Source organism: Homo sapiens, chromosome 11 (assembly GCF_000001405.40).
Source record: "Homo sapiens chromosome 11, GRCh38.p14 Primary Assembly".
Lineage (NCBI taxonomy): Eukaryota > Metazoa > Chordata > Mammalia > Primates > Hominidae > Homo > Homo sapiens.
The window spans coordinates 62,992,440-63,015,935 of NC_000011.10; the positions used below are offsets into that span (position 1 = coordinate 62,992,440).

General features: G+C 50.8%; 1 protein-coding gene across 5 annotated transcripts, besides 2 other annotated features; it reads right to left on the minus strand.

Annotated features, from left to right (window-relative positions):
• Window positions 1-384: 384 nt before the first annotated feature.
• On the minus strand, window positions 385-23,402 carry SLC22A8 (solute carrier family 22 member 8). 5 transcript variants are annotated; one of them, NM_001184733.2, is made up of 11 exons: window positions 23,290-23,402; window positions 22,187-22,271; window positions 8,281-8,384; window positions 7,249-7,403; window positions 6,482-6,650; window positions 3,590-3,713; window positions 3,265-3,380; window positions 2,103-2,317; window positions 1,331-1,439; window positions 985-1,188; window positions 385-897 (listed from the first exon to the last, which is right to left on the minus strand). In NM_001184733.2, the coding sequence occupies exons 2-11, from the start codon at window positions 22,244-22,246 to the stop codon at window positions 798-800; spliced, it is 1,356 nt and encodes a 451-aa protein (NP_001171662.1). In that variant the 5' UTR covers window positions 22,247-22,271; window positions 23,290-23,402; the 3' UTR covers window positions 385-797. The 5 variants fall into 5 exon arrangements, with proteins under 5 accessions (NP_001171662.1, NP_001171661.1, NP_004245.2 ...); NM_001184732.2 differs by having other exon boundaries at window positions 22,187-22,523; NM_004254.4 differs by having other exon boundaries at window positions 22,187-22,544.
• Window positions 6,012-6,929: an enhancer, noted in NCBI's record as "H3K4me1 hESC enhancer chr11:62765923-62766840 (GRCh37/hg19 assembly coordinates)". NCBI's record gives its function as "activates a minimal SCP1, AML or CMV promoter by ChIP-STARR-seq in primed H9 embryonic stem cells {active_cell/tissue: H9 hESC(primed)}" and the evidence as "EXISTENCE:reporter gene assay evidence [ECO:0000049][PMID:30033119]".
• Window positions 22,407-23,261: an enhancer, noted in NCBI's record as "H3K27ac-H3K4me1 hESC enhancer chr11:62782318-62783172 (GRCh37/hg19 assembly coordinates)". NCBI's record gives its function as "activates a minimal SCP1, AML or CMV promoter by ChIP-STARR-seq in naive H9 embryonic stem cells {active_cell/tissue: H9 hESC(naive)}" and the evidence as "EXISTENCE:reporter gene assay evidence [ECO:0000049][PMID:30033119]".
• Window positions 23,403-23,496: the final 94 nt, after the last annotated feature.

The following is a 23,496-nucleotide window of genomic DNA, read 5'->3' on the forward strand; positions in this document are numbered from 1 at the left end:
GTTTTCTCAGTTAACACGAGAAAAACTATCTGCTGGGCATGGGGCTGAGACATAGATCAGAGATTTGGGGTGATCAGGGGAAAGAAATCAGGATTGGAGGGGCTCTGGCTTCTGTCTGCAGCCACTCTGGGCTTGGTCAGTCATCTGCTCATATGCATGCTGGGACGTGTAGACACACACATGTATTTTCATGCACAGGCGTGGTGTACACACCTCAGAGCACTCACATGTGCTTGCTCATGTTCACATCAGTCCAGCTTGCATGTACCTGTGGTGCCTGTACACAGGCCTGTCGTACATGAAGTGTGGATGGACAGATGTGCATGCTCACGTGTCCACACGGTGGCCAGCTCCCATCCCACCCCCATTCCTGAACATCATGGCTAGAGTTCTTATCGCTGTTTATTGAAACCTCCCATCAAAGAAAAGTGTGGGAGGCAAGAAGGGGAGGACTTCTCATCTTGTTAAGACTCAGTCTTGTTAGGACTGAGCCAGGGGATATCAGGGGACCTCAGGGGAAGAGGACCGGGACAGTGGGGGAAGGTGGCCAGTGGGGAAGGGCTAGACAGAAGAATGGCAGGGCCTGGGTTGCAGGGAGAACAAGGGCAGGGATGGCTGAACCTTTGAACTGGCCAGGGCTGGGCAGGAGGCTCTGGTGGTGGTGATGGAGACACCTTCACCAAGCTCTCAGAAGGCTTCATCCTAGGAGGATGGACCTATATGGGGCCTCCCTATACTCCTAAGGTGCCTGGCTAGGATCAGTCTCTGGAGGGCAGGGAAAGGGGGTTCCGTTGTCCTCAGCTGGAGCCCAGGCCTGGTCCGTGAGGCTGTAGAGGGATCCTCTGGGAGGCCTTTTCCACCTCTGGCTCCTGCTTTGGCTTCTTTGCCCGCAGGGACCTAGGGACAGAGAGCTAAGGAAAAGCCCTGGGCCCAGACCTGCTTCCCCAGGGAGGAGCACTGATGGGGCCAGAGGCAGTGACTGACCAGTTTTCCAGGTCTTCGATAGTCTCTGGCAAGGGCTGATTCAGGGTCTCAGGCAGGAAGAGGGCAGCACTGCCCCCGAGGAGGGCGGTGATCCCGTAGATGATATTGGGGATGAAGGGCTGTACCTCACCCGTGATTTTCACCAGCGGGGACACCATGCTTCCCACGCGGGTCCACAGGTTACTTACGCCCATACCTGTTTGCCTGCGAGGGTTCAGAGTAGGGATTGGTAGCCTGTGTGTGGGGTTCATAAAGGATGGCTCCCCTGGGTAGAGGACAGGACAATGCCACAGTCCCACCTGACCTGTGTCCTCTGGCTGGGCCTGGCCCCAGGTCCAGCACCTACCTGATGACTGTGGGGTATAATTCACTTGTGTAGAGGAAGAGGCAGCTGAAGGAGCTGGATAGGCATCCCTTCCCAAACACAGCCAATACTGTCCTCACGGTCTGCAAGTCTGCAGAGGGAAGAAAATGTGGTGGGCCTTGGAGTTCAGGAGCACCTAAGAGTTCTCACTCCTTAGCTGATCTTGTCTCCCTTTTTGCTTTGGCTTCCAAGAAGCTCAGATCCAAACTTAAAGCTGAGTAATGCTTTGCATGCCTGTGTCCTGCTATGTTTGTGTTTTCCCCTGCCTCTGATCCTCTATTTCCATTTATATTTTGTTGTATATGTTCTTGTTCTTGTCTTAAAATACCTCAAGTTCTTTTGGAAGGGTATAGGTGTTATCAACCAACTAACACCCATATAAAATAAACGTAGCTTTTCCAAGGTCATGATGGAGTAGGTTGTGGGGTCTTTCTTGAGCATGAGCTCTGTCGTTTTACCATCTCAGCTTATCTCTACAGTGATGTCACTCAGGACACTCTCAATACCTCAAAAATTTTCACACTATCCAGATACCACCATACTTTTTGCCCAGTCCAAGTCAGATCTGGAAAGGAGCTTTCATGTCATCTAGCCCAATTGCGTTATTTTCTAGAAGAGAGACCCTGAGCCCCAGAGAGTGCAGGGACCTGCTCAAGGTAACACAGTGACTTAGAGGCAGAGCCAGCAGTGAAGTCCCTGGCACCCAACCTGGCAGCCTCTTCCAGAGGGTTCTGGGGTAGCCCCAGTCTCTCACCCAAGGGCACAAAGGTGAGAGCCAAGATGGCCCCTCCTGCCAGGAGCAGGGCAGCGGCCTGAGTGGTATGCCGGCCCAGGTAGCTTAAGGAGAGGATGGTGATGAACTTGGCTGGGACATCGACCCCACCAAAGATGATCTGGAGGATGTAGAGGTTGACTCCAAATTCTTCCACACCCATAGCCAAACTATAGTAGGCAAAACCGGTAGCAAACCTGAGAGGCAGAGAAGGATTGGTTAGCACCTGCAGCCAGGCAGAGGCCACTCCCCATGCTGGTCATTGGGTCACCAGGATGATGAATAGCTTCACTTCTTGTGCCAACTGCAACTGATGATAGGGGCTGCTTGAGTGTCCTTTTGAGGTTTCTGAGATCGTGTCTGGGCTCAGGGAGAAAGTGCTGTGATTGACTGGTCATGTCTGACGTGGGCATGGTCCAGGGTGTGGTGGCAAAGGTGCCAATAACTGACTCTAGAGAAGATCAGGACTGGAGGGAATCTCGGAGACCAAAGGAGGCAGTAAATGATCTCTCCTGGTTGGGCAGCAGTTTAACATCCAGACTGGCGAGGTGAGCATTGAGCTGTATGCCTGGGTCAGATGTTTCCCTTCCTCTCTCTGAACTGTGGGATCCCTTTGAAGGGTTCCTGGACAAATTGAATCCTATTCACAAAGAAATGGCCAGGATGGGAAGCAGAAACCAGGTCACAGAAAGGGCTTTCAGGGAGCAGGAGAAAGTCAGACAGAGGAGAAAACTTGAGATAAACATAATTTTTGTCTTCGAGTCTGAAACCCATTGGTCTAGCCTTGCTCTGTGGGGTTCCAGAGGGCAGAGCTGACCCAGAGGGGGGCAGTGACAGAGAGGGAGAGCATGGGGACACTGAGCGGCAGGGATGTGAGCTGGGGAAGGGGCCTGGAACATTTGTCCTGTGGGTGAGGGGTGGGGCATTGTGACCCCAGAGGGAAGCAGACCCTGATGGCTGGACCTGGGTGTGGGGCAGGAATGCAGCAGATTTCTGGGGTTGGGGCTGGGCTGTGGTGGCCCAGGAGAGGGGATTCTCTGACTTCTCTTTCAGATGCCCTAGGCCTTGCCCTTAAGTGAGCCTACTGGAGGCCTTGTCTATCACCCCTTCCTTGGCAGGGTGTGGGCAGGGAGAGGGGGGTTACCAGGCCAGGGAAAGACAGAAGGTCATGCGGCGCAGCATGGGTATCCGGAACAGGTCACTTGCGGTGTACTTGGCCTTGGCCAAGGAGATCTCCTTCTGCAGGTTGAGTTTGAGCTCCTTCGGGCAGAGGAGGGGGAGGGGTGCCATTAATGACCAGCTAGTGGGCAGGACGAAGAGAGGGAGATGCAGGCGTGGTGCCTCTAGAGGAGCTCAGGGAATCAGATGTGGTATAGGCTGTGAGCCAGGGGAACAGAGGCAAGGGGAGGGGCCAGCCCAAGAGTGGAGCACAGGGGTTCTGCTCCCAGACTATAGTCCTCAGCCCCTACCTCCAAGCTGAGCCTTTCTCCCTCTTCCTTCTTGCCATTGAAGACAGCCACCCGCCGGAGTATCTTCAGGGCCTTCGAGGACTTTCCAGACAAGACCAACCAGCGTATGGACTCTGGTGTCCACCTGGGGGCCAGAGACCAGTCACAGTGGCTCCTCCCACTCCAGAGCCCCTTTTGAGAGGCTGGAAGAACATCAACAGCCAGGGCCAAGGGGTAGGAGGACCAGAAACCTGAGCTATCTCACTGCAGATTTCATGGAATTTAAACTTGGACAAACTCTGCCCCTGGGCTGCCTGCAGCCAGCACAAATTCCAGTGTTCTCTTCTTCCCCTTCCAGAAGACACTTTCCTCTGCCCCCGACCTGGGCCACTTGTTATTGTTGGGTGTCTTCCTTAACTAGGAGCCCCAGGCTCTAGGCCAAGGCAGGTGGGGCTGGGGGAGGGGATGGCATGTTCAAGGCTGGACTGCTGCTGGAGGGTCCTGCACATCCACCTCCCCAGCCTTCCTTGGGCTGCATTCCCAGTCTCTCTGGAGAAGAAAGGGCAGGGCTGCAGCCACAGGGCAGCTTGGGAGGGGGATGGAGGCTAAGGTGAGGTCAGGGACTAGGCTTTGGGACCTTCAGATTCTCCCTGCAAAGGACTAACTCTGCTGGGGGAGTTGTGGGGAGGGAGTGAGCACAGCATGGGGTCTTGGGATTGGCAAATAGGCAGTCACCCCCACTCTCCCTTGCCCCCAGGCTATGCTTTTGAGATTGGCTCATTCTGAGCAGTTCCTGAGGGTCACCAGGATAAGAGGAAAGGAAGAGGTTGAGATGTGGGGAGAAAGGAGTGGTGTTTGGAGAAGTCTGGTCCAAGGCAGGATCAGCTTTAGCTGTAGCCCCTGTGGGTGACCTGGATCCGGTGAGGCCCTCAGGGAGTGGACATTGGTTGCCTGGCCTCAGGCCACTGCCCCAGCTGATGGTGGCAGCTTCCTGGGCCCATCACTCCTCCTGCCCTGATGGTCTTCTGAGCCTGCTCTTACCAAGATTATCAGTGACTTCCTCCCAAAACCATGGCAAGGGCCTGGCACTCTATCCTCCTCTTCCCGAGAATTATGGCAGGAATGGCTTACAGTTAGTGAGCCTTCCTGTGTACCAGGCCCATGAAACTCTGGGTGACAGGCAACATTATCTTCATTTTACCTAGAAAAATATTTTTCTTTTTTTTCCTGTTTTTGAAATGGAGCCTCGCACTATCGCCTGGGCTGGAGTGCAATGGCATGATCTCTGCTCACTGCAACCTCCACCTCCCGGGTTCAAGTGATTTTCCTGCCTCAGCCTCCCAAGTAGCTGGGATTACAGGCACGCATCACCACACCCGGCTAATTTTTTGTGTTTTTAGTAGAGACGGGGTTTCACTGTGTTGGCCAGGCTGGTCTGAAACTCCTGACCCCGCGATCCGCCCCTCAGCCTCCCAAAGTGCTGGGATTACAGCCGTGAGCCACTGCACCCAGCCACCTAGAAAAATCTTGATGCTCAGAGGGCATGAGACTTGCCCCAAGTCACACAGTGAACTGGCCCAAGCTCTCAACTGTGCTCTGCTGATCGCCCACCCTTATTTTGCCTCCTGACTCTGAGTGCTCTCACGCCTAGGTTGCCCATCCCCTCTGGGAGCTGCTATTCTCATTTCCGAGCTGAGGTTCCATCCCAGCTTTGCATCTTTTTGTGTAACTTTGAGGAACTGCTTCACATCTCTGAGCCTCAGTTTCCTCATCTGCAAAATGGGGACAATAATGTCTCCCTCACACAGAGAAGCCATGAGGATCAGAGACGACGTAGGTTGATGCCCAAAACGGGCTGTGCACATAGCAGATGCTCAATAAAAGGTCGCTCCAAGACTTCACTTCTTTTCCTGAGCGCCTGTGGGATTTCCTGCTCTTTGGCTCTGACTACCTTTTTTTTTGAGACGAAGTTTTGCTTTTGTTGCCCAGGCTGGAGTGCAGTGGCGTGACCTTGGCTCCCTGCAACCTTCACCTCTCAGGTTCAAGTGATTCTCCTGCCTCGGCCTCCTGAGTAGCTGGGATTACAGGCATGCGCCACCATGCACGGCTAATTTTTGTATTTTTAGTAGAGATGGGGTTTCACCATGTTGGCCAGGCTGGTCTCAAACTCCTGACCTCAAGTGATCTCCCTGCCTTGGCCTCCCAAAGTGCTAGGATTACAGGTGTGAGCCACCGTGCCCGGCCAGCTCTGACTACCTTCTAAAGACCCATTTCCTGTCTTTCAGTGTGGCCTCGGGTTCAACATGTTGGTAATGAGCTCTCTGCCCACTCTGGGTCTCTGACCCAGGCACCTCCATTTTCCCAGGTTCCCAGGCTCAGGCTTCTCTTTAAACTTTCCTTTGTACTTCGACTCCAGCAGTCCCCAATTCTCCAGATTCTTCCTTCAAGATATATCCCAGATTAGTCTCCCCGAATCTTCCTCCCAGCACCATCCCCTCCCATCTGTCTATTGTCCCCACTCAGTTGGGTCTGTCCTTCTGGGCTATTATTTCACAAATGGAAACTTGATCAGGCCTGTAGCACCATAGACTCTTTCTGTGGCTTTCTACCTCCCTCCATATGAAGTCCAGGCCCCCCAGCTTTCTGTGCTCTCCCAGCCAGTCTCCATCCCGTCCACCTCCACTTACCCTCTTCTTCAGCTGCAGGCAGGCCCTCCTTCCCCACGTGCCCCCATCCCTGCTCTCTCCTGCAGCATGCATTTGTTTATGTAGTTCCTCCTCCCTGGAGTGCCCTTCCCTGACTCTGGGACTGGGTGCCCGGGGACACAGAGTTGGCCAGCCTGGGCAGGTATGGGCTCCCCTGTTTGGCCCTGGGGCACCTAAGGAAACAGATGAAGAGGAGAGGGCCACATACCAGGATGATAGGAAGAAGACGAAGAAGGGAATGGACACAGTTAACTGCAGCCAACGCCACTGGGGGATGGCGTAGGCCAGGCCGGGCAGAATGAACTGGCCAAAGGTGTAGCAGTACCCGAGTGCTGTCGACATGATGGCCCGCATCCGGGTAGGCACCCATTCCACATCTGTGGGAGGAGTCCAAGCACCAGATTAGTGTTCTGCTAGGTCCCAGGCACCTCCGCGTGAAGGGGCACCAGCTTCTGCATCCCCACGGCTACTGACATCCTCCCCACGGATGCTGTTGATATCGCCCTCCGTTGGGTCTTCCTGCTGTTCTGATGCTGACCCTAAGTTCATCATCCCCATTTTACAGATGCCACAGCTGAGGCTCAAGGCGATAGGACTCAAACCTAGGTGTGTCTGTTTCCAAACTCATGCTCTTAACCACTGCTTCTCCAGTGGCAAGTGACTTTCCTTGTTCTGCCTCAGTTTCCTGATCTGTAAAATGGGAATAATAGTGTCACTTACTTGCAAGTGGTATTGAATGAGATTGTGTACCTAGCAGAGTGTCAGGTCCAGGGTAAGTCCTCAGTATTGACAGCTGCTATTACTATGCTTGTTGTCATTTTTAAATTTAAGTGAGGCCTCTGAGGTCCTGAGAGGGGGTGGCACCTTGACCAAGGTCACAGGGAGCCTGTGGTTGAGCCAGACCCAGACCCCATTCTCTTTTGGCTTCTGGATGGTGCTCCCCAAAGCCCAGCTCCATGCCCCACTGCAGCTCACTCAAGATGACGGTGCTCAGGGTAATGCCTGAGATGCCAAAGCCACACAGGAAGCGGAAGACCATGTAGATGGGGAAGGTGGGGCTGAAGGCTGCACCGGAGCCGCTGGCTGCCAGCAGCAGGTAGCTGCAGGTCAGGATGGGCCTGCGGCCAAACCTGTAGCTCGAAGGAGAGGAGGGGCCAGGTTAGCCACAGTGTGCCTGCCAAGAGGAGTGACTCTGCATGCTGTGGGGCAAAGGGCTGAATCCGACCCCCAACCTTTCCCTGTTGGGCACATAAAGCTCCCTCCCCAGACACAGCTTTCTTGGTAATTGCTATTTTTGACAAGTTTGCAATTAGAGGTTTGAGTTAATGAGTGATCTCCTCTACATCCGCCTCAGCTTAGCTGACTGAGCAGGGGTCAAAGGACCGCCCATCTCTAAGCAGTCCATCTCCTCTGCCTCCACTGCTACACAGCCACTACGCTGTGTCCCAAAACCTGGAGGTTTTTTCCCCTGGAAGAAGGGAAGGCTGGAGGCCAGACACGGTGGTTCATGCCTGTAATCCCGGCACTTTGGGAGGCCAAGATGGGAGGGTCACTTGAGGTCAGGAGTTTGAGACCAGCCTGACCAACATGGTGAAACCTCGTCTCTACTAAAAATACAAAAATTAGCCAGGCGTGGTGACACACGCCTGTAATCCCAGCTACTCGGGTGGCTGAGGCAGGAGAATCACTTGAATCCGGGAGGTGGAGGTTGCAGTGAGCTGAGATTGTGCCATCGCACTCCAGCCTGGGCAATAAGAGTGAGACTCCGTCTTAAGAGAAAAAAAAAAAAAAAAAAAAGGAAGGCTGGAAGATTCCAGTTGTAAGGGCTTTGGGGTGGAGAGAAGGCTGTGGTCCAGAAAGGTAGTGAGGTTTGCCCAAGGCCACACAGCAAGAGCCATCCCACCCTCCCCCAGCTCTTTGCCTCTTTGCGGGTGCACGGGTGGAGCAGAGTAGGGAAGGGTTGTCCCCATGGGTCATGCTTCCATGGGCTGTGCCCCCATGTCTCACCTGTCAGACAGGTCTCCAAGCACGAGCCCTCCAATCAGTATACCTGCCATGAAGATAGACTGGGCCATCTCCTTCAGTTTGTTGGAGTTGCACACCAAGTCCCACTGCACAAGAGAAAGGTAGGGCTAGCCTAACTCAGTGTAGACAGCCTGCTCAGCCATGCTCAGCCTGTGGCCTCATACATGTGGGCTTCCTCTCCCAGCGCCCTGACTTTGCCCCTACCTCCCAAGGACCGTTTCCTTTTTCAGCCCGGCTCGGAGCTCCTTGGGTTTGTCTGTGGCTCTTCGGCCCCTGACCTGCATCCCTCAGGCATGTGTGGCCTGTCATATGGCTCTCAAAGTCCACTCAGCTACCACATCCAGGTCTGGCCTCAACTGCTTCCTCCTCTCCAAGTTGCCTGCTTCCCTGTTTGCCTCCTCCCTGCCCCTCACATAGCCCAGGCCAGTCCCTCTGCGTACCCCCTTGACCTTGCCTTCTCTCCTCTACAGGGACGTTCCTCTATCCTTGCCACCTCTCTTCATCCTGCAGATCCAGTCTCTCTCTCTCTCTGCTCCTCCTCATCAGTATTTAGGTGTGTCCAAATCTCTCCATCTTAAAACCTCTTTCCTTTCCTCATTCACTCCATTTCTCTCTTCCCTTCAAAGCCAAATCCTTTGAACGAGGAGCTGTACTTGCTGTCACTCCATCCTCATCTCCTTTTCATGTCTCACTTCTGCCCCCAACCCATCCACTGAATCTGTGCTTATCAAGGTCACTGAAGTTTCATTTTTACGGCGCACAATGGAACGTCCCTAATCCTGGCCTGGCTTGCCCTCTGGCAGATGTGGATGCTGCTGATCTCGCCCTCCGTCAGGCTTCCTGCTGTTCTGCACTCCTCGTCTCCTTCACAGCTCGTTTCTCTCTGCCTAGTCCTTGAAGCTTTCCCAGGGCTCTTCCTGAATCCTCCTCTCTCTCCACTTTCCCCAGGCGATGCCATCTGTTCCTGCGGCTTCAATTCCTATTTTATACTGAAGATTCCAAATCTACAACTCCAGCCCAACCTATCTTCTGACCCACAGAGGAGTAGATTCAGTGGTCCCACTTGAGAACTCTGCCTGGATAGAGTCACAGGCACATCCCAGATTCAATGGGACTTATCACCCCACTTCTCATTAAAGTCCCAATCTCAGGGACTGGTAACCTTCTCTTTTTAATTAATTAATTAATTAAATTAATTTTTTTTTGAGACAGGGTCTCACTCTGTCACCCAGGCTGACTACAGTGGCATGATCATGGCTCAATGAAGCCTCAGTCTCCTGGGCTAAAGCCATCCTCCTAAGTAACTGGGACTACAGGTGTGCATGACCACACCTGGCTAATTTTGGATTTTGTATATAGACAGGAGCTCACTATGTTGCCCAGGCTGGTCTCTAACTCCTGGCCTCAAGTGATCTGCCTGTCTTGGCCTCCCAAAATACTGGAATTACAGATGTGAGTCACCACATCCAGCCTCTTTTTTATTTTTATTTAAAAAAAATTATATCATTTTTAATTGGCAAATCATAATTATATTACATATATGAAAACAATGTGGTGTTTTGATATATGTATGCAATGTGAAGTGATTAAATCAAGCTAATTAACATCACTTCATTTACTTGACATTTTTTGTGGTGATACTTTTGAAAGTCACCCTTCTAGTTATGGTGAAATAAACAATACATCATTATTCTTGACTGTAGCCATCATGCTGTGAAACAGATCTCAAAACGTATTCCACCCATCTAGCTGAAACTTTGTACCCTTTGATCAGTAACTCCCCATTCCTTTCCCCAGCCCCTTCCCCCCGAGCTTTTGGTAACCATCATTCTACTCTCTACTTCTGTGAATTGGACTTTTTTTTAAAGATACCATATATAAATGAGATCATGCTGATAACCCTCTTGATTCCTTCCTCCCTCTCCTACTCCACAATCACTTGATCTTCAAGATTCTAGCTTTTTGATATTTCTTGAATCTGGATTCTTCTATTTCCAATACTACTGCCTTAGTGTAGGCCTCATCATCTTGCACTTAGATTAATAATGACAACTGATATTTATTGAGGGTGTTCTAGGTACTGGGCACTGTTCTAAGCTCTTTCCATGTTTTAACTTTAATCTTCACAATAACCTTATTATGTAGGTGCTAATATCATGCTATTTTACAGATAAAGAACCTGAGGCCCAGATGAGGCTGCTGCAGCAACCTCTTGACAGGTCTACTGGACTTCGGCCTCATCCCTTCCTAGCCATTCTTTCCCTGATAACCTGAAGGGCTAAAACGCCACTCAAATCAGGTGCCTGTCTTGCCTAAAGTGCTCACTGGCTTCTCCTTGCCCTTTCGGTAAAGATAATGCCCCATTAACATGGGTTTATGAGGCCCTCCATGCTCTGGCCCCTGCCTACCTGTCTGGTCTAATCTGCTAATCCCCAACATGCACCCTTTGCTCCAGCCATCTGAATTACTTGTGCGATGAAGTGGAGAATTTAATTCAATAGAAATGCCTCACAAGAATGTTTTGGAAGCAAAACATTCCAAAAGGTGAAGAACCAAACATTCCAGGGAGCTCTTTCTCACTTTCCTCAGTTGGAAGTGAGGGAGAATGGTGGTGGATGGAATCTCCGGGTCCTACAGCTGTCTCAGAGTGGCCCAGCATGGCCAGCAAGCCTGGTGGTCCGTTTTAGTTGGGAAGGGGGCCTGCATGGTATGTGTGTTGGGAGGAGATGGAGGAGGGACAAAGGTAAAGGAAGAAGCAAGGGGGTGTGAGGTGGAGGAATGTGCAAGGGGCCATCTAGAGAGACTTCTGGTACTTTGTGGCATGCTGTGTAAAGTCCCTTTAGGAAAATCTAAAGGAGAGACCTACTGTTCACCTAAATTCATTCACCCCTTCTTCCATAGTAAATAGCACATTTCCCTGATGACCTTGTACTGAGTGGGGCCATGTAGTTCTTGACAATGGAATGTGAGTAGAAGAGATGTATGTTACTTCCACCTCATTTGCTTAAGAGGGATTCCCTAGTCTGGACTTGCATGCTTTCTTCCCCTCCTGTTGGTGGGAATGGTGACAACTAGAACAACTCTGGAGAGTTGCTGTCAGTCTGGGTCCCTGAATGACTCTGTGAAGCAGAACCACCCATTGGCCTAAAATGCTACTCACCTTGGAACTGTTACATGAGAAAGAGAAACACTTCAATATTTTTCGAGCCATGAATTATTGTTGTTATAATAACCTAGCCTATCCTGATACATCCCATAAGAAGTTGCAAATGGAAATTAGATTTTTATCCCAACCTCCATGATAATTAGTGCCTTAAGAAATCAATAATCTGTTTGGATCATGAGAAGGTCAATTGTCAGACCTGCTTGGAAGGTTTCAGGCTGCTGTCCTGCTCCACCATCTGAGACCAGATCTGCTGGATCTTGGTTTCTACCATGATACTTGTGATCATGTAGGCTTTAGAATAACTGTCATGAGCTGGTTTCTACCAGAAAATTGAGCAATTTACAGAAAATATCATTCCTGGAATAAACTTTTGAGACCTGTTTAGAACATGCCTGAATCCTTACAATGGCTTACGAGGCCCTGGAAAATCAGCCAACATCTTTATCCCTGTCACCTCTCTGCTCTTACCTGCTACTGCCCTCTCCCTCACATACTCCACTCTCGTTGAATTGTTCGCCTTGCTGCTCCATAAACATTTCAAGCATGCTCCTACCTCAGAGTCTTGGTGTATGTTGTTCTCTTTTTCTAGAATGTTCTCCCAGATAGCTACTTGACTTGCACCTCCTTCAGATCTTTGCTCAAATGTTATCTTCTCAGTGAGACCTCCCTATTTACAATTATAACTCCCAGCAGCCTATACCTCTCTACCCTACTTAATTTTCTCAGTAGTGCTTATACCATCAGAATGCTGAATGATTTTCCATCTTTTTGGTTTATTGCATGTTTCTCTCCCAAGAATATCAGCCTGATGAAGATAAGGCTTTTAGTCTGTTTTGTTTACTACTGTACTTTCATTATCAAGAACAGTATCCGATACATACTAGGCACTCAATACTTGTGGAATTGAATGTGTGAACATTCCACAGAAAGAACAGAGGGATTGAGAGCCTTAGAAGTTAGAGATCTGCCAGTGTCTACATGAGAGGTCATAGGGCCCACACTCCAAATGCTATGTGCCTCATTTCACCAGAATGAGTGCATGTCAATATGGATAGTGTCTAGGCTGTATGTGCTGAGGATATAACCACACGCCAGTGAGCAGGAGAGAAGTGTTTTTTCTTCACAGTCAGACTGGGAAACCTACTATGGAAAAATTGTCTACTGGAGGATTATCATCCTTCAATGACATTTAGAAGCTTGGAAGGAAGAGTGATTTGTGGTTAAATATTTTTAAAAAATTGAACTTCAATTGCACTCTAAATTGCTCCCAGAGATTTCATGGTTAATGAAGCACATCAGAACTGATGAGAAAAATATGGCCATGGCTTCCCTAAAGATCAACACAAATCTGTTTTCCCTGAAGACCAACACAAATCTTCCCTGAAGATCAGGAGAAAGCTTTGCAAATAATGCCATAATAACCTTATAAAGTAGGTACTCGTGTTATTTCTTTTTATAGACAAAGAATCTGATCTCACAGGGTAAGTGGCTTGCCCAAGCATGGCTTGGTTCATTTCAAGACAGAGACTGAAACTCAGATCTGAGATCTGCAACTGTTATGGGTTGACTTGTGTCCCTCCAAAAAATACATTGAAGTTTTAACTCTTCGTGGATCAGAATACGACCTCATTTGGAAATAGAGTTGTTGTAGATGTAATTAGCTAAGTTATAATATGAGGAGATTATACTGAGGTAGAGTGGGTTCTTAATTCACTATGACTCGTGTTCTTATAAGAAGACAAGAGAGAGACACATGGGGATGTTATGATCCACAGAGGCAGAGATTGGACTGATGCGTCTACAAGCTGGGGAATGCCAAGGGTTTCCGGCAACCACCAGAAGCTGGCAGAGGCAAGGAAGGATTCTTCCCTAGAGCCTTTGGAGAGGACACACCAACACCTTGAGTTTGGATTTCTAGACTCCAGATCTGTGAGACAATAAAATCTGTTGTTCTGAGCCACCCAATTTGTTGTGCTTTGTTATGGTAGCCCTAGGAAACTAATATACGGCACGATTCCTGAATATTTGAAGGAACTGCTGGCTTTATAAGGGGTGATTGGAAGAGGATTGGGACTAGACAAGCATGGCAATGAGGGAACCAGATGTGGAGCAAATGGGAGAGATTTTTAAAGGCATCCTGGAATTTCTGGGAGAGAGGAAGGTATTTAGAGAGAATTTTGGCATGCTTTCTGTGCAAAGACCCTAAGAAGGCCCTTTTAAGAAAACTTAGGCTAGATGTCTTGATTATTACTCAGGGTGTCAAGAGTGTGACTTGTGTTTCCCTTGACTGTGTCTCCATGGTAGTCTGAGCCATGCAAGTCCTTGGATTCCATCAGGTTACACTACAGAAGCTCCATGCTATTGCATTTCTCTTTGCTTTGGTGCTGGTTATGATCCCCTTATTCTAGTAGTGTTGGCAGTCCTTTGAAACTCATGTCAATATCGTCTTTTTGGAGAGCCAGGAACTTCTTTTATGGTCGTCTGGCACAAACAGGTGGTCAATAAGTGTTTGTCAGTTCGATAAATGGATAAGAGTGTCTAGCCGCCCAGGGTAGGTAAGGTGCTCCTCATTTCCCTTTCTTGTTCTTACCTCCAATAGGGCACCTATTACATGGCATTCTAACTGCTTATTCACTTGTTTGCTGTCCTGTATTCTGTAATCTTGCTGAGGACTGAGAATGTCTCATTTGAGTTTTTTTTTTTTTTTTTTTTTTTTTTTTTTGAGACAGAGTCTTGCTCTGTTACTCAGGCTGGAGTACAGTGGTGCAATCTCAGCTCACTGTAACCTCTACCTCCCAGGTTCAAGTGATTCTCCTGCATCAGCCTCCTGAGTAGCTGGGATTATAGGCATGCGCCACCATGCCTGGCTAATTTTTTTTTTTTTTAGTAGAGACAAGATTTCACCATGTTAGCTAGCATGGTTTTGACCTCCTGACCTCATGATCCTCCCGCCTAGGCCTCCCAAAGTGCTGGGATTACAGGCGTGAGCCACCGCGCCCAGCCTTGAGGTTTTATCTCTAATAGCTAGCAGAATAGTTGCTACATAGTATATGTTAATGTTTCCTCAACAAATAATTAATGAGTGAACAGGGCTGGGAGAATTTTGGCATGCTTTCTGTACCAAGACCCTGAGGAGGCCCTGTTAAGAAAACCTATAGCAGATGTCTTGATTATTACTCAAAGTGTTGAGTGTGACTTGTGTTTCCCTGGACTGTGTCTCCATGCATAGGCTGTGCCACTTGGAGTCCTTGGATTTAATTATCCTTATTTTACTGAGGAAGCCCAGAGAGGGAAGAAAGGCAACTTGTTGGTTGAACAGAGCCAGTTACTCAACCTCCTGGTGGTTCTGTTTAGTCCTCGGCATGACCTTGGCTGATCCGTCTCATCAACTTTTGGCAATTCCACATAATGTTCTTGCTCCCAGTATTCTAGTTCAGTGTTCCTTTTTTTCTTACTCTGTCTCCCAGGCTGGAGTACAGTGGTGCGATCTCGGCTCACTGCAACCTCTGCCTCCCAGGTTCATGCGATTCTCCTGTCTCAGCCTCCGGAGTAGCTGGGACTACAGGCACCCACCACCATGCCTGGCTAATTTTTGTATTTTTAGTAGAGACGAGGTTTCACCATGTTGGACTAGGCTGGTCTCAAACTCCTGACCTCAGGTGATCCACCTGCCTCAGCCTCCCAAAATGCTGGGATTACAGGCATAAGCCACTGCGCCTGGCCTAGTTCAGTGTTCTTGACCATCTTTTTCCTTTCTTGGAATGTAGCCGAGCCCCAAGGGAGCTGGGTTCTGGAAGGAAAGGGTAGGAAACTCACTGCCATGCCTTTCTGTATGGGCTGATGCATCAGGAAGGTGGTGGGGAAGAAAGAGAAAAGCACGATGCTCAGGAGAAAGCTTTGCAATTAATGGCGTAATAACCTTATAAAGTAGGTACTATTGTTATCTCTTTTTATAGACAAAGAACCTGAGGCTCAGAGGGTAAGTGGCTTGCTCAAGCATAGCTTAATTCATTTCAAGAAAGAGACTCAAACTCAGGTCTGCTGGACCCAAGATGCTACCCTTGGCCCTGAGCACAGCTCCTTGATGCCTCCCTGCGTGCCGTGCTCTGAGGCCTGGGCTGCTGAAGGAAAGGCACCATACACGGGAGCTGTTACTGTGAGCCACTGTAAGACAGCATAGCCCAGCATAGGCTGGGATTGTGGTCAAGGAGGCAGTCAAGGTCAGAGCCAGATAAGCTGCTCTGACATCATATCCAAAGTGTGAGCAGCAAGAAGTGAGGCTAGGTGGCCCCTGCAGAGCATGAGGCAGAAAGTGGGCTGTAGAGAGTCAGGACGAGCCATTTGTGATCAGGACCATGATCAGCAGGATGGGGCCCTGCTGTGTGTGCGGGGAGCTGGCTGAACCAGGAAACAGCCTGCCTTAGTTCAGGGGCCTTTTGGAGCTAGGTCAGGTCTAGCTTAGGGGAGAATTGCTGCTGCCCATGTGCATTCCTGGATCCCTAGAGGAACCTGTGCTGGGGCAAAAGGACCAGAGAGGATGAGCCAGGTATCTTGGGGACAGTCAAAAAGACATCAGTTTCCAGCTCTGCCACTTAGGAGCTATGTGTTCTGGGGCCAATTACTTAACCTCCGTGTGGCTCAGCCTCTTCATCAGTACCCACAGGTACCTAGTACCTGCTTCTCAGGCTTGTGAATGACATAGGAATGAAAAGCACCCAGCACTTATACCTGGAAAACAATAGGCACTCAATTCACAATAGCTGTCTTATTATTATTGTCACTATTAATGCCATTAAGTCATTGTAAGGCCTGTGCTCACAGGGACAGCTCATGCAGTAGAAAGGGCATGGATTCTGTAGTCAGGACCTCCCAACACCCCCCGTCTTCTGTAAAAGCTTGACCCACCATCATGTCTGGGAAGGCCACCTTCTGGATCTGAGCCCGGTGTATTCCTCTGTAAAATGGGGACAATAGTGCCTGATTTGCAGGGTCACGAGAGAAGGGATGCAAACACCAGCCCAGGTCCCTGCGTACAGTGGGTGCTCACTGGTGAGTTCCTGATCCTGGAGAGCTCACAGGAAGGTCCCACCTCCTCCTGCGCACATAATCAGGGGCTTTCTCGGTCAGGGCTGTCAATAGGGATCAGGCTGGCTTGAAAAGTGGTTTGGGTGGGGCTCTCAGGCCTTTTCCCAGGAGTCAGATTGGAGGCGAGGAAAGAGATGGAGGAGGATGAGCCCCCGGCAGGGCTGAGGGTGGGCAAATGGGGGTGTGAAGCAGAAGTGCTGCTGGAGATGAGAGATGGGCAACTGGGGACTGGGGATTGGGATGAAGGAGGGTCAGAGGCGGCTGACCAGAGACCCGGCAGGGGACCCTCCCAGGGTGGAAGTCTGCTCACAAGAGGCCTCACTGGGCAGCCTCTCTGCTTCTCCAGCAGCTGACCTGGGGCCTCCTTGGAGCAGTCTTCCACCCTGGAGAGGGTGGGGGACGGGCTTCTTGCAGCCCTGGAGACAAGGCAGGGAGGCTCAAGGCCCAGAGACGAAGCCCAGGGCCCTTAGAGAGATGGGTCTTGCTCATCCATGGCCAGGCCCAGGCCCTGAGGCCCACAAGCTGAGGTTCAGTGGTGGGGACTATGGGGTACGTGCCTCTCCAGGGAGCCCAGAGTCCAGAATTCGTGTTCCCATGCTTTCTAGACTTAAAGGCCTTTGTTTCCTCTTAATGTCCTAGTAAAGCTCATTCTGAAAAATCCTGACCTTCTCTGCTGCACCAAGAGAAAGGAATTTGTGGTCACCCCTGCCAGGAAAGCTTAGGGGATCAGAAGGGGGAGGGAGACCGCCTCCACTCCTGTCCAGACCCAGTGCTGGGCTTGTGCACTCCACCAGCTCAGCCCTCCAGCCCTCTTGCCCCCTCCAAGAGGGACCCTCCTTAAAATCCCCATTCTACAGATGAGGGGACTGAAGCTGGAGTGGCGAGGTCACTTGCCAGGTTGCTGACTGTGGGGGAGGAGCTGGATCTGAGCAGAAGAGGAGGGCCAGGCTGAGGAGGGAGGCAAAGTCAGGGCCTGGGTGAGCTAGAAACAACTGTGAGAGCTGGCTCCCCTTTTTACCAGGGGATCCCCCTCTCTTGTGATGGGGACAAACCCTCTAGTTCTCAGACATCCCTATTAACAACAACAGCAAAAAAGCATGGCACCAGCAAGGAGTGCAGCTAACATGAAGATGGAATGCTGTGTGCCAGGCCCTGGGCTCAGTACTGTGCTTGCGTTATCCCCGTTCACCCTCACACTTGCTTTCTTAGCCCTTTTTACGGATGAGGAATCCGAGACTTCTAGGGATCATGATATTCCTGATCATTGGCAGAGGCAGGTTGTGAGCTCTGGTTCACGATCCCACACTGTTTGCGAGATGGCCCCTTGCTTCTACTAACAGGTGTCACCTGGACTGATCTCGCTCTTCACCAAATACCCTGCCTTCCTCATTACCACCCTCTTCACCTGGAGCCAACGCATCGGTTTCCCGCCTCTGTGTCAGAGACCTACTTCTAGGTAAGGTCCAGCTACTGCTCTTCTCTAGCTGAGGGGCACCAGAACCTGACCCAAGCACATGGAACTGGACTTGTTATGGCTGAACCACAAACAGAAAGATGAAAGGGTTCTGCCCTTGCTGTGCTGGTACCAGTGTGGCTGGCTGGGTCCAGCCACTAATGCATTAATGGCCGGGCAGGGACACTTCCTAAGTGCTCTCACAGCTGAGAGTTCTAGGGATCTGGCACCTGATGAATGCCTGGGCCAGACCTGACCCAGAGAAGGGTGCGGTGCCCTGAGGCCTGGTGACCCCCGGCGTCCTGCTGGGATGGCGGTTCACACTATCTCAGCTGCTGAAATGGTGACTGGGAACTGGCTCAAGCGTGAACTGATGCTTGACTGGGTACAAGACCTGCAACCTCTCTCTCCGTCTGGCCTTTCTAGAGGCTTCTCGAGGGGTTTTCTGGAAAGGAAGCCACTTCCCAGCAGTGAGCGGTGTCTACATCCCTCCCGTCTGTCTCTCCCGCCAGGCTCTGAGGGGGCAAGTCCTTCATTCAGTGTTGATTGAGCACTTGCCATGCATCTAGTCCTGTGATGACAGGGTGGGTGAGAGAGGCACAGTCTCTGCCCTGGAGAAGCTACTAAAGGCAGGGAAGGAGGATCTGTGATGTCCCTGGGCAGCAGGGTGCACAGTCAGCCTCACGGATTGTGGGTTGGGGGTTGTGCATTCCTGAGGAGCATAGGCTCTGGAGCCTGACTCCTGACTTTGACTCCCCACTCCATCCTGTATGAAACGTGAGGCCTTGGGCCAATGACCTGTCCCTCAGTTTCCTCATCTGTGAAATGGGATAAGAAAGGTGCTAACCTTAGAGGGTTATTGTGAAGATGAAATGAGTTTATGTGGCCGAAGTGCTTAGAACCATCTGGCACAGTGTGAGCATGCAGTAAATGTTATTGTGATGGTGATTTAATTGTTCTCTGTGAGATTTTTGTTTCTTTGGCTAGGTTCTGTGTTTTTGGAGGACATGGGCGGTGGGTTTTACTCCTCTTTGTCTTCCCAGGTCTCAGGTGCACGGCAAGTCACCTGTACATTTGGAAACTTACTTATGGCTATTGAGGCATCTTTGACTCCCTCCCTGTCCCTCACTCCCTGCATCATTCAGTTGCATTCAGTTACCAGGTCCCAGAGACTCCAACTTCCTGGCCTTCCTGGTATCTATTCTGACTGTCCCTTCTATCTGTCGTCTTTGTCCTGGATCCCTGTGCAGCTTGCTAACGGGTCTCCCTGCTGCTGGACTAAAACACTCCACAAACTACCCTCTAAGGGGCAGTCAGAGTGACGAGCCTTCGAAGGTGACCTGTGGTGTCACTCTCCTGCTTAACACCACCACAGTCACTGGCTCCCCATTGCCCTTAGGACAAAGGCCACACCTTTACCTCTGTAGCATCCAAGCTGGGCCCTCTTGCTGTCCTCTCTAGCTCCATGTCTGGGGACCTCCATATCCTACTGCTCACTCCTCCAGCCTTCCCCTGGAAACTGCAATCTTGACTTTTTGCTCTCTTTTTCTTTTTTTTTTTTTTTGAGATGGGGTTGTCTTGCTCTGTGCCCAGGCTGGAGTGCAGTGGTGTGATCTTGGCTCACTGCAACCTCCGCCTCCTAGGTTCAAGCAATTCTCCTGTCTCAGCCACTTGAGTAGCTGGGACTACAGGTGTGCACCACCACACCTTGCTAATTTTTATGTTTTTAGTAGAGACAGGGTTTCACCATATTGGCCAGGCTGGTCTCAAACTCCTGACCTCAGGTGATCTGCCTGCCTTGGCCTCCCAAAGTAGCTGGGATTACAGGTGTGAGCCACTGCACCCGGCCTTTCTTCTTGCTTCTGTGCCTTTGCATTTGACCCTCCTTCCCCGCCACTCTTCCTTTTGCCTGGGGTTCACTGCTCACTAACTCTCACCTCCCAAAGTGCTGGGATTACAGGCATGAGCTACTGCGCCCGGCCTTTCTTCTTGCCTCTGTGTCTTTGCGTTTGACCCTTCTCCCCCACCATCCTTCCTTTTGCCTGGAGTGCGCTGCTCACTAACTCCTACCTCTCCATGCCCAGTGTGGGCATTACTGACTCCAGCAAGCCCGCCTCAATCCTCACTCCAGGCTGGTTAGATAACCCTCCCCTGGGCCTCAGAGCACTCTGAGTGTACAAAGCGCATATTCATTCATTCCACAGAACACCTCCTCTGTACCAGGCACTATTCTAGCTGCTGCAGATAAGAGTAGTAAACAAAGCAGCAGAAAATCCCTGCCTTGGGAAACGTGTGTATTCCACCAAACTGCCCATGATCCTTGAGAGCGGGTCTGCGTCTCGCTGGTGGTGTGCTCCTGGAGGGAACGCAGGGCTAGCGGCTCTTCGACTTTATGTCCTCAGTATTATGCACTGGGTGTCAATAAATGGATACTTGATGGGTTTCAGGCATTATGCTTGGTGCTGGGGGGAGAAAGTAGCAAACATGACAGGGAGGAGATATAATCTAGGTATATGAGAGCAGCAAATGTCATGGTGTGGAGGGCAGGTGTGTGTGTTTGGGTCCTGAATCTGCCACTTATTAGCTGTGTGACCTCGAGCAAGCTACTTAACCTCTCTGTGCTTCAGTTTCCCCATCTGAGAGAGAGAATTACAATACAAACTATCTTACAGTGTGTTCAGGAAGGTTAAAAGTGTTAATATCTGTGAAGCTCTTAGAACAATGCCTACCACATAGTAAGCACTTTATATAAAAATATTTGTTAAACAAATGAATAACAATCACACAGACTCTGAACATAGCCCTAAATTCAAATCCTGCCTCTGCCAGGTTCTAGCCGTGTATAACATGGGAAGGTCATGGAATCAAGCTGAGCCTCAGTTTCCTCATCTGTGAACTGGAGATAATACTTCTCTTAAAGAGATTACATCTCCTGGGCCTCCAGGAACCCACAGATGTATAGTGCTTGGCACCAGGTAAGGGCTTTGCAACGAACGCATCTCTTCTCATGAGGCAAAACAGGCTCCTGCCCTTGAGGGGTTCATGGTACCCAAGGGAGGATGAAAACACTGGTCTCTGCTCACTGCTCAGACGCCACCTCCTCCATGAAGCCTCCCTTGAATCCAACAGTTTCTCCCTCATTTGGACCCCCGTAAACATTTGTCTCCCTGTACTTCTTATGGGCTTTAGCTGTAAATTCCAGTTCTGAAACTGACCAGCCATGTGGCACTGGACAATCATTTCCTTTCTCTGGGTCTTAGGTTTTTTATTTTTAAAAATTCTGTAAGGGGAGATAGAAATCACCTTCAACGGAGCATCACGTTGGAATCAAACAAGACAGTGTCTACAAAGCCCCCAAATGTGCCTGTCAGTTAGTGACGCCCAATACATGCCAATCCCCAATTTCTCATCTTCATCCTATCATAGGCTCCTGACTGGCCTGTCAGTTCATTGAAGAGTCTGATTTAACTCTGGATTTCCCCGAGGTGGCAGGTGAGAGAGTCAATGAATCAGTGAAGGGCTGTGGGAATGAGAGGTGAACCCATGAGTGACTGTGTGTGTGTGGATGAGACATTTTCTGGGTCTGCTGTGGAGTGTTTCAAGCCTCCCCTCTGTGCGGTCCCTCCTCCACAGCCCTCCCACCTTGGGGTCTTTGCACAAGACGGACTTTTCCTCCTTTCCCTCACTGCCTGTTTGGCCCTTGACTGATGTTTATATCTCAGTTCCAGGGGCATTTCTGTAGGGAGGATTCCTTCAACACCCATTCCCCACGCCCTCACTCTCACACCCACCCCAGAGGTCGGTCATAGTGCAAGGTCACTTTGAAGTTGCAATTTTACACTTATTTGTGTGGTGTTTTCCTTAATGGGTGCTATCTCCACCGGGCTGTAGACCCCCTGGGAGCAGGCATGGTGCATTTTTGTATTCCCAGAGCTTAGCTCTGTGCCCGTCACAGAACAGGCCCTCAGTAGCAGTTTGTTGAAGCACTGCTTGGACTCTGAGTGGGAAGAAGCCAAGGGTCTTGGTGCATGAGCTTCTGCACTCAGGTCCTTCCTCTTTGCCTGCCCAGTGACCTGTCCTCAGTTCCTGGGAACACCAGACCCCAGCCTCCTCTGCTGCCCACCAGCGGTGCAGGGTATGGGGGTACGTGGGTAAGTGGAGGGAGAGGGTTTGCCCAGGCATACCTCTGTCACAATGGAGTCCTTGGTGCTGTTGTAGACCCAGCCATCCAGGCATGGCTCCATGGCCCTCTGGGTGTCATTGGGCAGGCTGGCATTGGGCGGATGTACAAAACGGAGGCACCTCTCAGGCTTCCCATTTGGGCCCATGGGGAGCACCCAAGGCCCTGTGGAGGCATTGTGGGGCGGGCGACAGTGGTGGACAGGGGTGGCGGCTGTGAAGATCTGCAGCAGGTTGTGGTTGGCCATGTTGAGGATCGGGAGGCCCAGTATGGCTACATGCAGGAACTGGAAATGGCCCATGCTTCCCACACGGTCCAGGATCTCCGAGAAGGTCATGGCACTGGGGCAAGACGAGCCAGAGCTGTGGGCAGGGCATAGGCCAGGGAGAGGTATATTTGTGCCTGGTAGTGCGTGGGTCTATGGAACGATATGTGGGAGGGTGAACCAGGTGGATATGCGAGCACAGGTGTGTGGAGCAGAGCATGTGTAAGTGTGTAAAGATGTGGAAGCTCAGGCATGTGGAGCCGCAGATTCTTGTGTGGATGTCTGAGGAAGAGCCCAGCTGCACGGAGGGCTGTGGGATCAAAGGTGGAAGTGTGTGTCCAGGTGTGTGGACACAAAGGTATCTATGGGTATGTGCTCATTTAGGCTGCAGCATAAGGACACAGCTGCGTGAGCTCGGGTATGTGTTGTGAGCGTGTGCACCTGCGGACACGAGCATGTGTGTGCTCAGCTAGGCTGGTTGCACATGCTGCATGCATGGAGCAGTGCAGGACACGTAGCAGGGACCAAGGGGCCCAGCCTTGGATGTTGGCTACAAAGGACAGATTAGAGGGTGGGTGGTGAATGTCCCCAGTTGCTCCAGGCAGATACACAGGGTTAGCAGAGTTCAGGTTGTCTGCTGGGAAAGGCCTCCCCAAGCTCAGAGCCTCCTGGCTTCTGGCAGTTCCCTGGGGCTGGGCCCACCATGCTGGAGTATCTGTAAGAGCCCGAAGCAGGTCTCAGAGGGCACTAGGGGCTTGGCTAGTCGCAAGTGGAGCCTGGCCTTGGGAGATCCCTGGGATTCCTAGGTGCCTGGGCTGGGGAGGCCCTCCATCCCTCCTCACCTGGTGGCCGGGTCTGGATCCGATGGGGCTGGTGATCAGTGTAGTTGAGGTCCCTGCTCTGTCCTAGGGGCCGGCAGCTGCTGTAGTAGGGCAGCTCAGCTCTAACAAGCTGTGTTTGTGCCTCCCCCAGGGGGGCTTATATAAGGCATAAGCTGTTTCCCGGGCTAATGTTTGACTTTCTTTTGCGGATTAACGTCACTGGCAGGG

Coding starts and splice junctions, on each gene's coding strand:
- SLC22A8 (NM_001184732.2), bottom strand. CDS start 22,519: ATGACCTTCTCGGAGATCCTGGACCGTGTGGGAAGCATGGGCCATTTC. Junction 1,189..1,330: donor TTATACCCCACAGTCATCAG/GTAGGTGCTGGA, acceptor GAACCCTCGCAG/GCAAACAGGTATGGGCGTAA. Junction 898..984: donor ATCGAAGACCTGGAAAACTG/GTCAGTCACTGC, acceptor CTCTGTCCCTAG/GTCCCTGCGGGCAAAGAAGC.